Source organism: Homo sapiens, chromosome 6 (assembly GCF_000001405.40).
Source record: "Homo sapiens chromosome 6, GRCh38.p14 Primary Assembly".
NCBI classification, from domain to species: Eukaryota; Metazoa; Chordata; class Mammalia; order Primates; family Hominidae; genus Homo; species Homo sapiens.
The window spans coordinates 54,130,511-54,146,743 of record NC_000006.12 but is presented as its reverse complement, the minus strand read 5'-3'; the positions used below and the strand labels follow the sequence as shown (position 1 = coordinate 54,146,743).

General features: G+C 37.4%; 1 protein-coding gene across 18 annotated transcripts in view; it reads right to left on the bottom strand.

The window, feature by feature from the left end:
• The window catches only part of MLIP (muscular LMNA interacting protein), a 247,311-nt gene that overhangs the window by 119,537 nt on the left and 111,541 nt on the right, over positions 1 to 16,233 (bottom strand). For 10 of the 18 annotated variants that reach the window (XM_047419509.1, XM_005249476.6, XM_005249478.6 and 7 more), the window contains one exon: positions 8,458 to 10,029. The exons of the other annotated variants lie outside the window; for them this stretch is intronic. In XM_047419509.1, coding sequence (XP_047275465.1) covers positions 8,458 to 10,029 — 1,572 coding nt within the window. The remainder of the gene's footprint in view (positions 1 to 8,457; positions 10,030 to 16,233) is intronic. 18 annotated transcript variants of the gene reach the window in all.

The following is a 16,233-nucleotide window of genomic DNA, read 5'->3' as shown; positions in this document are numbered from 1 at the left end:
TTGTTATTGCACACAAAATGTCAAAGAATCTTACCATAAGAAGTGATATAGAAGGTCATTTGGTTCAACTCCCTCATCTGACACATGAATCTCTGTTCTGTTTAGTAGCCAAATGAACACTTGCTTGCCTCCCAAGGCAGAACATTCAGGTCTAAGTGTTAGAATTAGTACAAAATTCTCCCCTACATTGAGCCAAAATATGCTTCCTGCTAACTTATCTCATTGGTCCTATTTCCCCCCTCTTGAAATCATGGCTCATGCCAAGAGCTCTCTTCTGCATAATTATATTGCTTCCTTCACCAACTCCCTGATACTCAAGTGAAGAATTCCACTACCCTCATTGCTCTCCTCTGATAATATTCCTTAAAATTATAAAAAGCGTTTAATAGATGTGTTTTTAGCACATAGTAAAATATAATCATCAAATCATCACCTCCATGATATTGATGATAAACTCAATTAATGTAATGAAGATAATAATTGGGATCATCTCCTTAGTTTTTGTGGAGAGTTTAAAAATATGCAAGAAAGGAGGTTGGAATTACTTCATACTGTTGGATCACACTGAGTAGGCTATCACCTAAATTCCTAATCCTTTCATCTTTTTTCAAAACATTTACTAATAATTCCATCCTATATTTATGCTTATTTATACCTTTTTATACCCAAAAACAGGGCTTTAGGCATTATCTTTATCAAGTTTTATCTGATTAGATTGGGTTTGTCATTGTAAGCAATGAAGACAAGAAATTTTAGATTATTTCATGAAACATTTTGTTAGGTGTGTCATTTTTATCTTCACTCAAATCATATACTAAGGACTAGGAACTCCTGCCACTGGGGTCTCCCAACTTGGTGGACATTAACTGATCCTGTAAATCTATTTATGGTTGTTCAACTAACGTATTTATTCAAGAAATTTTTTCTCTTTCTTTTTCTTTTTTTTTTTGTGGGGGAGGGGGTGGTGGGGGACAGAGTCTTTCTCTGTTGCCTAGGCTGGAGAGCCATGGTGCGATCACAACTCACTACAGCCTCTAACTCCTGAGCTCAAGCAATTCTTCCACCTCAGCCTCCAGAGCATCTGGTAATACAGGCATGTGGCAGCATACCCAGCTAATTTTTTTTTATTTTTTTTGTAGAGATGGGTTCTTACCATGGTGTCCAGGCTTGTCTTGAATTCTTAGGTTTAAGGCCTCCTCCTGCCTTAGCCTCCCAAAGTGCTGGGATTACAGGCGTGAGCCACCATGCCTGGCCAAGAAATATTTATTGAGTACCTACTACATGACATGCACTACTCCTCTAAGACATACATACCCTTTCCTTTTCAGTATAAAAATCCTATTTATTGCCCAAAAAAAGACACATTTTGAGTCCACTGTTTTTCCTCTGGGTTCTCTTAACAATATGTACTCGATCTAAATATGAATTTTTTATTCTAATTTGAAACACACCTCCTCTTAAGCATTTCAAGGCTTCCAGGTGCTAAACCAAATTCATTTATTTTCCTCTTTGGCTTAAAATTACTAATCATTCTAATGTGGAATTACAGGGTTAGAGTAAACATTAGCTAATCATAGGAGGTAAAAATGATTGGCCTAAACCTGAATCTGGCAAACAAGGCAATAATACCTATTGGTTCTCTCCAATTTGTAATCTATGCTTTCAGTAAACATTTAAAAAATATTTCTTAAATATCCTCTGCATGGTGCAGGTCAAAGTTTAGGTTTGGAAAACAAAATGGCATTTTATTACTTATGTTTACCAGAGCTAATCCTGTTTATGGGCAATGCTAGTTGCCAGCTGCAATATAAATTCTGGGTTTGAAGGTAAGGATAGCAAGAACACATTCTGCCCCTTCAGAAAATATTTTCCACTAAAGTCATATATCCTGTTGCTGATGTCTAAAATTTCACCACAGGCTCTAGTAATAAAGATCCATGAGGTCACAAAGTGAACTATGTTAGTTGCTTTGAGGATCAGGGGTTTGGACTCACAGTTACACTTTAAGTGTGGTAAATCAGGGGCCCCTAACCCCCAGACCATAAACTGGTACCTGTTAGGAATTGGGCCAAACAGCAAGAAGTGAACAGCAGGTGAGCGTGTATGACTGCCTAAGCTCTGCCTCCTACCAGATCAGCAGCAGCATTAGATTCTCATAGGAGTGCAAACCCTATTGTGACTGCACAGGCAAAGGATCTAGGTTGTGTGTCCCTTATAAGAATCTAATGCTTGATGATCTGAGGTGGAACAGTTTCATCCCAAAACCATCCCCAAACCCTCAATCCATGGAAAAACTGTCTTCCATAAAACTGGTCCCTGGTGCCAAAAAGGTTGGGGACCGGTGCAGTAAATGCAAGAAACTTGGGTTATATAAACAATAGGATGAGGAAACCATGGTGAAGGGCCTCACTACCACCATGTCCAACTTCTTCCAGAAGCATTCCTGGGCAGAGATGAGAGCATCACTCTACATGTACACTTTCTGCTCCTCGGTGATCACGTCTGTCTTACCTGAGTCAGAATCTCCCTGACATCAGTCCTGAGATGAAAGCTCAACCAAGCCCTGATCCCGTTCATAGGGATTGCCCAGACACTTCCTTATATCTGGATTACTGGCAGAGCACAATCTATAATGATCCTGATAATGGAAAAGCTAGAGGTGGAGGATACAACTGTCAAAAACTGCCTGGCAAAGCAGATGGGCGAGGTAGCAACTGAGAAAACCTCCCAGGACAGGTCCCTTCCCAGGACCCCACTGCATCCCTCATTTATCTTTTCATTCCTCTAACACCTTAAATGCATAATTTTGTTTCATTTTATTATAATATTTTGCCATCCCTATCTGCCTGCTAGATCTTTTAGAGGAGAGATTTTATATTATTTGTTCATTTATTTTCAACACCTAATACAAACCTGGCAGAGAAAAGATGTTCAGCAAATATTTGTTGACTTGAAATATCTAATTGAAAATTACAATAAGATTCAAGGACATGAAAAAACACAAATTTTTAGTTCTTCGTCTATGGTTCAAGTCCTAGACAAGCCTGGCTAATTAAAGACCTCCTTCCACCACTCCAAGCATGCCCTGAGAACATTTCTAATACAGATTTTTGAAGTCATTTTTCTTCATGACGTAAACCTGTAACATTTGCTGCATTATCTTGATCCCTGTTTTTTCCTTTGACAATTCTCTTGTTTGAGTTAAACTGCACACTCCCCTCAATTAAAATGCAAATCCTGGCCAGTGTGGTGGTTCATGCCTATAATTCTAACAGTTTGGGGGGCCAAGGCAGGCGGATCACCTGAGGTCAGGAGTTCAAGACCAGCCTGGCCAATGTGGTGAAACCCCGTCTCTACTAAAAATACAAAACTTAGCTGGGTGTGGTGGCAGGTGACTGTAATCCCAGCTGAGGCAGGAGAATCAATTGAACCTGGGAGGCAGAGGTTGCAGTGAGCCGAGATTGCGCCATTGCACTCCAGCCTGGACGCCAAGAGCGAAACTACACCTCAAAAAAAAAAAAAAAAAGCAAATCCCCCCAGGGAGTGCGGGGTTAGAGAGGAAGACAAGCTTTTGTCAATCATTGAACACCTGAGTGCGAACCGTTACTAGGATCAATTCAGAGAGGCTAGCTGGAGAGAAGCACAGGAGTGGTACACAGAACTGGTCAGTATAGAGGCCGAGTGACAGATAGCATAGCTGAAAGAAGCCTGGAAAGTCAAGGATTCTCAAGAACTTTGTGAAGGGAGTGGAGTAAATGACAGTGAGATAAAAAGAGAAAAACAAAATAAGAAAGCACATAAGGCTAGTTTCAGCGTTTTTTTTTTGTTGTTGTTGTTTTTTTCATTTCACGTAGTGGCTCTGATGTTTGGTGAATGTTTGTTACTCTGCCTACAAAACATAATGGAAATCTTATCTTCACCTTCACTGCTATAACTTGACCATAGCCACCATCATCACTCACCTAGATGGTAGCAATAGACTTCTAAGTTCTCCCAGCTTAAACTTTCACCCTCTCATGGTCTATTCTTATTTAGCAGTGAGATAGTTAAGATGGTCACTTATCTATTTGAAACCCTCCAAAGACTTCCTGTCTTACTTAAAGTAAAAATCAAAGACTAAAGAGTGGCCCACAAGACCCTCCTACAGGATCCGGCTCCCAGCTACATCTCCCTCTGACAACCTCAACATCCTGTTCCTCACTGCTAGCCCAGAATGTGTTCTTTGTACCTGTCAAGCACTCTCTGGCCTCAGAGCATCTTCCTCACTATACTCTCTTAAGGAGTATCACCTCCTTGGATGTTACATTCTCAAAGAAACCTATCCCAATACCCCAACATAACTTGTGACACCATCCCTTCTCTATTTCCCTTGAGAATCAGGGATATACTTTTCTCTATGACACATATGACCTTCTGACACACACAATAATTTACTTATTTGGAGGGGTTATTATTGATTGTTTCTCTTCCACCAAAGAATATAAACTGTCTTTGAACAGGCATCATTGCATATTTTATTTATTGCAATATCCTCACAGCTTTGAAAAGCACACCTATTAGGTAATCAATACATATTTATTGAATGACTGATTTGCTTGAACCCAGATTAACTATTTTATCTCAGGCAGACACATTCCATATTGCTCATTTTCCAAATTACATGTGGTTCTGCAGAAATGAAGAAAGTCACAGATAGACTGCTGCCACTAAGTTTTCAGTGTGATGTATTTGGGAATGTTTTGATGTCTTAAAGGAAGGAGACTTTTGTGAATAAAACACCAGTTATAAAGTTTTATGAAATATAAAATAGCTCTCAACTTGTTCCCTAAATAAGCTATGTGTCCAAATAGCTTTAAGCCCAGGGCAGGCCCATGAATGGAGAGTCTTTATAATTGGAACTAATCTTCAGACTGTCTTCGGTAAGTGGCAGACTCTACGAGGCTTTGATGAAATGCTTACCCTAATTTCCATATGGACCACCATACTAATTCACTAGGATAAAAATTTAAATTCTTTTATAAATGAAGGCAGAACAGATTGGGGACCCAGACACAACTCCATGGGTGAATTTTGTAATATCCAGTCTTTTGCATGGGAAAAAAAAGTCTCAGACAATATAGATGTTGATCAAAAAGTAGGCCAGGCATGGTGGCTCACGCCTGTAATCCCAGCACTTTGGGATGCCGAGGCAGGCGGATCACTTGTGGTCAAAAGTTCAAGACCAGCCTGGCCAACATGGTGAAACCCCGTCTCTACTAAAAATACAAAAATTAGCCGGATGTTATGGTGCACACCTGTAATCCCAGCTACTTGGGAGGCTGAGGCAGGAGAATCATTTGAACCCAGGAGGCAGAGGTTGCAGTGAGCCAAGATCACACCACTACACTGCAGCCTGGGCGACACAGTGGGACGTGTCTCAAAAAAAAAAAAAGGCAGGCTGAGCAGCATTCAGATGCCCATCCTATCTAAAGCAATGATTATAATGTGAAATAGTATTTTAAACTACATCTGAATTTAACATATCATAGCAATTATATCACACAAATGCAAGCAGATTCAGAACCTTAAGATTTTATGTATGAAAAAGGAACATCAAACACACTTTATATCTGAATTTAGCTCAGCATACTATGGTTGATCCATTTTATTTTAATATCAAAGGACAGTAGAGCCCAGACTTTAAACTAATATCCTCCAAGCACTCATGTTTTAATTAGATGCCATCTGTATTCTATGATCCCTGTTATTTCAGAATCTCAGAGTGAGTAAAGCTGACCTAAATCTAAAGCTCTTTGATTTCAAAAAGAGTCCTGTGCTCAGCTTAGCATCACACTGGAAGGAGCAAGACAAGAAACAACCCATGAAAGCATATAAATTCTTCAATATCACACAGCATTTGTCTATTTCTTCCTATCATTCTGTAAAATAATGTTACCAATTTAAACACTAGCCAAACATCAAAAGAGCTTGGGATAAGATTTATCTATTCCACATCCATTTTAATAAGTTTTTTATACTCAAGATACGATTTCTGAAAATAATAGATTGTAATAAAAAAAAGTAGGCTGACTTTCTGATTTTTACCTAAAGAGATAATATAGCAAGATGCAAGGAGAAAATAAACATGAAAAAGAATAGCATTGTCTCATAGTCCATACTATTCTATTTTTGCAGAAGCTATTATAAATTTTACCCATGATAAGAAGCTTTTTTTTCTGTTCAAAGAAATCTATTGATATTTTTACTGGTAGTTAAATTATAATCATTCTTATTTTCCTGTTCATCAAATTTACTTTGCATTTCTTTGAATTTTCTTTACTTGGAAATTCTTTAAAAAGTAAAAAGCAAATGCTGAAAATTTTTCAATGTTGGGTGCAGGAAGAGAGCCCCAAAACAATAGGTCTTCAATAAATATGCCTTTAATGTATCAAAAGCCCTTTGGGGCTCACCCTCTTCCAACTCTCTGACTATATCCAAAACAGGAGAAAACATAAAGTGTGGTGAAACACACATAGAAATGCTTTGAAAAAGCTTCTAGAGTGAAATCACTTTTCACAAAAAAAGAATAAGTATATGGCATCATGGTTCAAAAAATGATAGTTAATGCACTCAGGAAACAGTAATGATTAGATTGTGAGTTCGTTTTAAATACTCTACAAATAAATTTTATAATCACATATATGTATTTAAAATATAATAAACAGGTCAATTTACCTCAAATAAGTAGGATTGTCAATTGAGAATCACAGAAAAAGTTAAATTTTATCCATCTCATTTTCTTTGAATGTTTAAAATACAAGGACTTAATCTCCAATACATTTTTTAAATGACCCCAAAATTATATAAATTGGGAATTCTGGTTATAATTCCTTAATAATGATTTTCTTCATGAGAATTGTAAAGTCAGGCTAAATTGCTAACATGAGTTATTTCTTTGTAGCAATAAATGATAGTAATAAAGAACATGGCTTCAAGAATCAACAGACTTAACATTACATAAATGTCAGCTCCGAAACAGACCCATTACCTGGACAATTATTCACTGAACTTCAGTTTTTTGGTGTACAAAATAGGGAAAATAGTATTATCAACTTCATATAGTTACAAAACTTAACTGATGTAATCCATTTTAATTAATTTTTCAACTATTTTGTATACTAGCATAGTTCCTGACTCACAGAAAGCATTTGATATTGCTGCTATTATTACCGTCAGATTATAAGGCTAATCGTCTTATGTCTCCACACACAGACTTCTGAGATCATCTTCTGTATATTTGGTCAGATTGTTTTCCATTTCTGAAATGCCAACTTCTTTCCTCTTCATTAAGTTAAATCCTAAATATTTCCGACAGGCCTGACATTTTTTATAACTTCCCTTACTAACCATGTTCCATCACATTACTCCTGTTATATTGAACTCAGTTGATGATTATTTATAATCTGACTTACACAATTAATTTTGCCTTATATTGGTTTTCTAGCTGTACTGTAGATTTAATAACTGTATATAGCCTCTCCAAATTGTGTATATTTTTTTCTACTGATTAAAATTGAATTATTCTAAGACAAAAAAAATCTCTTACTTCCCTTTAAAAGAAACCACACACACTCTAAAGAAAGCTAGTATAGTGGTACACATATAGCAGGTATTTAATGCATGTTTTTGACTTGAATTGTTTTGTGACATCATTTACAAGATAATGAGGGTCACTTTATCCCTTCAACGTGACATTCATCATCTGAAAAGTGACAGTGAAACATACTCTCCATGGTATTTCAAAGCTCTAAAACTACATTATTTCAATGTGCTGAGCTGAAAATCACCACCCCTTCTTATGCAGGCACTTTAACTGTTTTGTTTTATTGATATAACAGCTATCAAATTCTGGGTATGGGTGATCCACAATCTGAATTACTTGAGAATAGTTGGGAAGCCAGCATGCCTTAGTGTAGAGTTGCTTTCTGCTACGAGAACGTGCTTGGCTATGTCACAGGCCTAGATCTAAGATAATATTCCATTTTATATTAATCCTGTCTACTATTCCATCAGTACAGGATATTTGGATGGATGCTAGGGTCCCTGTTAATAAACAATCAGAAACATATCATAGTCCTGAATCTCTACTACTTGCTTTTAATTCTGTCATTAGGGCCAATGATATAACTCATATTATGTCTGAGGAAAAATAATACCCTTGGAGTCATAGATATAAGAAGTTAGGAAGAGAAAGAGGATTTTCAAAATCAAAGGATTTGACTGAAACACATAATTCTATACAGATTATAATTCATTTACACATTCAAATATACCAAGTCCTGGTACCGTCTTGCACTTTTTCTTCCTCCTTGTAGGAGTACAATTAATACTATAATTATTGATTTCTGCCTTGGGGAAAAAAAAAAGATTCTTCCCTGTTTCAAAATAAGCATGCACCATGCAACATGCAAAAAATACCTTTGATTTCTTATTTTCTGGGCCTGTTGACATGGACAATGCACAAGGTGAAATCAGCTCCTCTGTCCTTGTTAGAGATATGGGAAGTGATGGGGTTGAAACAGGTGACCTGTGGTTGGGGGTGGTGCTTTCAGATTTCCCAAGTCTTGAAGGCAAGGTACCACTGCCGCAATGTGGGTGCAGAGCTGAGGGACTGAGCTGGGGCACCAGGGTGGGCAGATTGGCATGAGGGAGAGAGGAGGACCTCAAGTTGGGAAGAGAGGCAAAGTCAGCACTGGAGACAGGGAGTGAAGGAAGAGCTGAAGGATTCAGCTCCTGGCCAGATAGTTGGGATGATGCTCTTTTAGATCTGTTTATCAGGCTTGAAAGAGCTGGGGAAGGATGGAAACATTTCTCTGAAGAAGAGAACGTAGCTCTTTGATTAATAGGAGGAGATAGAGAAGATAATGCAGAGGAGGCTAATGTAGAAGGGTACGTGTGAATGTTTCTGGGGTTTTCTGGACCCCTGAGGTCACCATCCTGTTTACTCTTCAAAGAGGAAAGAGAAGAGCTTGGTGGAACAGGAGGAAGACCCACAGAACTGGATGTACTGGTTTGTAGCAGGGAGAGCATGGTATTGCTCTTCAAAGTAGGTGATGGTGTTCTCTCTACATTCATGGAAGCAAGGCTGCTACTAGCCTGTTTTGTAGGAGAGAGGGAGGGCGCCTGAGAAAGCGGAGTAGACTTGGTGAAAACAGGCAGGTGAAAAGATTGCTGGGTCAATTCAGAAACCTGGAGTTCCCCTTGATCTGGTGACCCGGCTCTCAGGGAACAACTTGAGAGAGATTTTTTAGGCGTGGGTGGGGTCTGCTTTTCTTTTTGGTCAAGTGTGAGCGTGGAAGAGGCCGGGGAGTTGAGAGAGAAGGTGGGACAGGATGCAGGGGAAAAGGGTCTTTGGTGGGAAGGGTTTGACTTGAGAATGGCAGTGAGAAGGGCAAGCCGGGAAGGCACCGGGGATTTTACCCCTGACTTTGAAAGATTTCCACTAGATGACATTTGGCTGCAGATGGTGGAAGAAGAGCCGTGGAAAGAGGAGGTAAATGGTTTGGGGCTCGGAGAGAGTGAATGCGTGACAATGCGGACTGGTATGTACGAGGCCGAATTCGACTTCAGAGAAGCACTGGAGGACGGTGGAGAAGAAGAGGTTCTCGGACTTTCTCCGTGACTAAGGACATGCGAGGTTAAAGTTGTCTTCTTGAGAACTTCAGAGGTCAGTCCAGGCTTTGGATCTGCTGCAGTTGAACTGGGTAAATTAGAACCTGATAGTTGAGTGGAATGGGGAAACAGTAACGTCGAGGAGGTGCCCTTCGATGCAGAAAAGGGTGTAGAGTGAGCGGTAGTTTGAAAATACGTAGCTGATTCTTCCACCACGGCCCCACCGACATCCAGCCTCCTAGTGTGGAACTCCTCTAGGACAGAGGCTCCCTCGAGGTTAACTGGGTCGGGTGGTGTGTTCGGATTAGTTGGAGAAACAAAGGAGAAAGCAGGTGGTTTACAGGCAAGCTGCTCAGAGGTAGTGGGAGAAGAAGTTAACTAGAGGAAAGAGAAATAGACAGATTGAAATAGGACATTATTTGTGAAACGATCAAAATATTCTTGTCACTTGTGCGATTATACAAACAATTTACACAAAAGGAGGCATCTTAAACCTCCACAAAAATGAAGGAAATTCTATTTTGCTAATGAGGCCTTGCTCTGAATTCGAAATAAGATACAAATAAGCTGTGAAGCATTACATCCTATACCTCATTTATCCCACAGAATGAAATCAATGTAAAATTGTATTGCATAGTTGGAAGATAATTCGTTGACAGCATCTAAAATAGTTATCTTAATTTTGAATTGTGTGATTTGGAAAGATTTAAATCACCATCAGTATAAATTGCAAATTTCACTTTGGAAAATTATTTTCTTCTATTGTAAGAATATAAAGGATGATATTATAATAACGACTACAAGTCTTAAAAAAACTTTAACACACTTCAAGTGTTTAAAATTCTGAGAGTTTCTACTACTTAACTCCTACATGCTGTGAACTTGGAAAAGTGCCTGGAATTCAAATGATGAAACACCCAATGTCAACACAGAATGATAAATTGAGAGAGTGAAAGCAAAGTCCAAATTAAACAGGAAGTTTTAGCTTATTTTTCCTAATTATTTGCCAGAATGAACATTTAACATGAACATATAATGAACATTTAACAAATGATTTGGGTCATGCTGGAAGAAATAGGCTCTCTTTTGTGTCAAAAGAAGCCCGAACACTTTACAAATACAATCCACCTGAAACAAGGAAACCCACCAATCCAAATAAAGAGGAAATAAAGAAACCAAATAAAGAGGAAATAAAGAACAATTCATCATTTTACAAGAGAAGCTAGGGAGAGCCTGTGAAACAACTGGATGTAGGTAGTCTTGTGCCATTTTAAAAATCATCTAGTACTTTAAGATAAGCACTGAAGTTATAAATACTTTGAACACCTTTTAAACAGAACTTTCCCTTAAAAGTCATTGATTTGATTATGTCAATATATAAAAGAAATAATAAACATGCATGTCTAATAAAGAATTTAGGGAATATCAATCATTCAAAATATCAATAAATATTAAGATTTACATATAGATATTCATTAAGCACATAGCAGGAAAATGTATATAAACATAACAATCAAACTTAGCAAAACTTTACAAATAAAGTAAAAGATATTTCTTGATTTTGCTTATAACATTTTAAGATTTCCATCAGACCTAATGCAGAGGTTTTCATGTCATATAGTTTTAATCTCTAAAAATATTTAAAACTGGCAAATTCAAACACTCATCCCAAACTTCCAAGTTTCTAAGTAAACATACCCAAAATATTCTTTTCTTTTATATGTGAATTTGTATCTTTGCAACACGGAAGAATTCTTGCTACATAAATAACACCTGAATATATTGGCGTAACCCAGAATATGGGAAAATCAGAGATAATTAAAAGTCAAGCAGAATTGAATCAAATGGAAGAAGAAAGCTTAGCAATTCACTCGTATAAGTTTTATTTAGAAACAACTCTGCTTAGCCAATGTTTATGTAACTGATGCATTTGGTTAGAGATATATTTAAATCCAAACACTACTAGCTGGGCAGCTGAATGTTTCTGTCACTACAAGCATGACAATGTCTTATTTGGAGTTATGCAATCATTTTAGTTAAATACATAATTAATGTTTAAGAAATTGTTCTTTTAGGGTAAATAGTGTATCCAGGGAATTTTTTTTTTTACCACAAAGAAAAGTCTTCTCTAATTGTTTCCTATGATTGATCTCTCCTAATGAAAAGAATATAGAAACATTTCTAGACTGTGTAGTGTGTCTTTGCATGTTGTACTATGCCTGGAATAGCTGTTTGGTAAAGAATTCTGTAAATTAATAACAGCAGTCACAAAACTCTCATTACCTTTTCAGTTCTGCTGTTTCCAAATAACTTTAATGTATATGACAAACTCAGTTATTTACCCTGATTGATTATTCACCAAATTATCACTATGCTAAGACCATAGAGCTGTAACTGTTAGGGTCTCATTCAGAGGAAAAGACTAACCTCTCCAATTTCCTCAAAACTATGGCTTCTAATGACCAAACATTCTACTACATTAATTAATATTTTACCTAATATAAATATCTCAGAATTTTATTATACTTTTTAATATATTTAAAACATTGATTTTTAAGGAACTTCTAAGAGAAAGGCTCTGAAAAGTCTAAAGATGTTTACCATGTTTATATTAATCTGCACATAATTTTTATTATATTTTCTTAATATATTAATAAGTATATGCAACATATTCCTTTCTAACTTGCAAATATGCCACGATGTATCCTAATTTGTACCAATATAAAAATGTGACACCATATTTTATAAAATTCTCAGGGGTGAAGGATTCTTTTTTTATAAAAAGATTGATTTTCCTGAGTTTCTCTAATTAATAAATTTTTAAAAAGAGGAAGTAAAGGCATGAAAATATGTATGCAGAAAGAATACATGGGCACCTGTCAAATTCTCAGTCAGTAGCTCAGAATCAGTCCTTCATTTTACCTCTTCCTGTAAATCCCTTATTAGTGATCCCAAACTTCCCTATTGGCATCTATTTAACACAAATTATTTCCATCTCTTCTTCCTCTACCATTCATAACCCTCTATGTTGTTCTCAAGGTTTGTTACTGATGCTCTAACTCCTTCTCCCTCAAGGCTGTTCTAGGTTTTCTTTACCATTTATTTCTTACCTCATCTTTATTGATTCCTTTGCTTCAAACACCTCTCTAGAGCTACCAATGACCATGTTTTCCAATACCCAGAACTATGCTGGTTCCCTGAGCCCCCCTTGCCATACACTCTCTCTAAAGTCATTTTCAAAACTCTCTTCTCCTAGAAAGGCTATCTGGAACTCTGGAAAACATTCACAATAATCTCAGTAACAGAAGATGAAATGTGCTCCTATCATTAGGTAAGTAGATGATCCTAATCATAAATTCACCCTCAGATCCTATGTAATAGAGACCATCAATTATTTTAACAACCAATCTCTATTGTAGAACTGCCTTGTATTTTTACTGCCTGTAAATCTAAAATAAACTGCTCCTGTATATATATTCAATTTTCCCTGATGTTTCTATGAGATTTCAAAGCATTTGAATAAAAACTGAAGTGACTGATCTGCTACCTAGTATCTTGAATACTTTCTGAGATTCTGACAGCACCAGATGTGGATCGTATATAGTTGTGCTCTTCCTCCTGAATCTGTACAGCTACATGAGGCAGAAACCCCAGATTCTCCCTTGTCGTCACATACCAATCATTGCATAATGGCAGCTCGGCCTCCTAAACTTAGCTATTATTGATTTGTCCTCTTCTCTCTGATGAATGCTTGTAATGCTACAGGGAAGATTCTCAGCCTTTCTTACCTGAACACATTAAATAATCTTTTCTGGTGTTCTTACTTGTAGTTGCAGCCTATTTAACCTATCACCAGATTGAACTTTTAAAATCTGATCACCTATGCTCAAGACCTCATCACTGGTTTCTTTGTGTCTACCATGAACTACAGATACTTCCTTCATGACGAAGCCCCTCTCTTGCTATCCAGTCTCACACCCCTCATCCCCTATTTTTTAAGTTTCAGTAATACTTTGTTCAATCTCAACCTTCTTGCCAGCATTGCCAACATTCTAGCTATTGTGGTTTCTTGCCAATCCTCTCTTGCCAATCAACTTAGCAAACCTTCATTCTTAAACCAATCCCAGCAACTGCCATTATGTTTCTAGACCTAGTCTACCAAAAGTTGCTATAAGAAAAAGAAAATTGATACCACTTTTTAATAGGACCACAGCACCTATTTTGCAAACCATCCTGTACAAGGGCGCAAGCTGAGTGGGGCTGGTTTCCCCTGCACTGAATTCCCCTGCAGAAGGGGAGGTTTTCTCAATTCACATATGGGCTGGCTGAGTCACTGTAGACTGGTGAAAGCACAAGTTCAATGTCTATAGTCTCAGCTGGGTCCTGCACCTCTCGATTTTTTGGTTGGTTGATTTGTGTTTTCTTTTTTGTTGTTGTTGTTTGGACCTTGGCTTCCTCTACTGTTCTGATGAACAGCTTTTCCAAAAACTTTACATTCTCCACAAACCCTTAACCTACTATTTCTCCCATTATGCTCAACAGATGGCCTAGATTTCTTTACTCCAAGGAAAATTGAGATTACCAGGAAAGTGAATTTTGGTAGTATCATCTTCATTCCCTTTCCCTCATTCTAAGGAAAGATGAATGAAAAAAACTTTCGCTTTGTAAAAGGTGAATTCTCCTTGTGTACTCTGAATCACAGCAGCTCTTGCCCTCTTAGAAATCTCATTTCATCAGTTATTCCCCATAACCTATGTACTTATCCTTTTTAATTTTTTCCTAGCTCCCTGATCCTAACATAGATATAAAACAGAAATTCTCTCAATCTTTTAAAAACATGATAATAAATATCATTGTGGTGAATAGTGAAAGTACCCACAATTCTCTGTTCTTTCCCATTCATTCCATCATAAACGCAGTCTTTTGTTCCACCTTTTAATCTGGATAGCCAAATGACTTGTTTTGGCCCATACAACATTATCAGATGCAATACAAGAAGCAGTATCTTGAAAAACATTTGTGCATTGAGGCTTACTGGCTTGTTACGTGCAGAACATTGCCATAATATGAATGAGCTCAGGCTAGTTTACTGGAAGATACAAGACCACGTCTCAGCACACAACTACTCAGCCACCAGACAGCTAACCAGCCACCAGCTAACCCAACAGCCAATCACTGACATGGGTAGGTCACAGTAAAGATTAACTGAATCCAGCCCATATCTGCAGAACCACCTAGCTGAAAACAGCCCAAATTATTGACCAAAAAATTTTTGAGCTAAATAAAATATTGTGTTTTAAAACACTAAATGCTGGCATGGTTTGTTAAGCAACAAAAGCTAACTGACAAAAACGAATATATACATACATATCCCAAGCTCTTTCTTGATCCTATATTTCCCATAATTACAGGCCTATGTTGTTTTCTTCTCAGTCAAGTCTGTACAATATAATCACTGCACTGAGTTTCTTATTTCTTGTAGTCTGCACACCCTAAAATGACTACCCAAAGAGTCCCAGCCTTATAGAATTCCTTCCTTTTAAGTGTGGGTGGAAACGGTTACTTGCTTCTAACTGATAGAATATGACAGAGGTGAAGGAATTTTTCAAATGTAACAAAGGTCCCTAATCAGGTTACTTTAAGTTAATTAAAAGGGAGGTTTATCCTGCGTGGGTGTGACCTAATCAAGTGAGCTCTTTAAAAAAAATAAAAATTAAAAAAAGGTCTTTGGAATTAGAGACTCAAAGCAGCAGAGATACTTTTTCTCTGTTGCTGGCTTTAAGAGGCAAGCTGCCATGAATTCCACAGCCTCAAGGAAATAAATTCTGCCAACCTGACTGACACCTTGATTTCAACCTGGTGAGAGACCCTGAGCAAAGAACATGGCTCAGACATATCCAGACATCTGATCTACAGAAACCAGGAGAAATAGGTAAATTTGTGAAGCCACTACATTTGTGGTAAGCTATTGTACAACGGAAAACTAATTCACTTCCCACTAACTTCTTAACAGATTTCTTCTCCACCCTTACATGGAAAACTGTTATCACTAACATCTACAATGGTTTATTTTTCCTAAACCCAACAGGCACTTGAATCGCTTACCTTTTCTGATTTCTTTTCAGAGTTTGACTCTTCTAATCTCTCACTCCTTTTCAAAACTTTTATTTATGGCCTCTATTTCATTACTCTTTCCTAGTGTATTTCCTATCTTTTGATGAGTCCTTTTCATATTTCTTCTCATCTTCCACCCTGTTCTTATGTGCTGATACTTCCTTCCCTATTACCTTTCTGGAATGCCAAAAATGTATTCATCCTTCAAATTTCAGCAACACTGCCTCTGTGAACCCTTTCTGATGCTCCAGGCTGACTTAGGCATCCTCCCCGTAGGCTTCCCACTTTTCTGAACATGCAACCTAATACACTTTTTTTTCTGAGCATGCACATACACTTTTTAAATTCCTTAAAGGCAGATCATATGTCTATGTACCCCTAGTGTCTAGTGCCTAGCCTACTACCTTCATACAGGAATAAAAAATAAATAAATAAAATGTCTAGCAGATGAAGGAACAGAAGGATGCA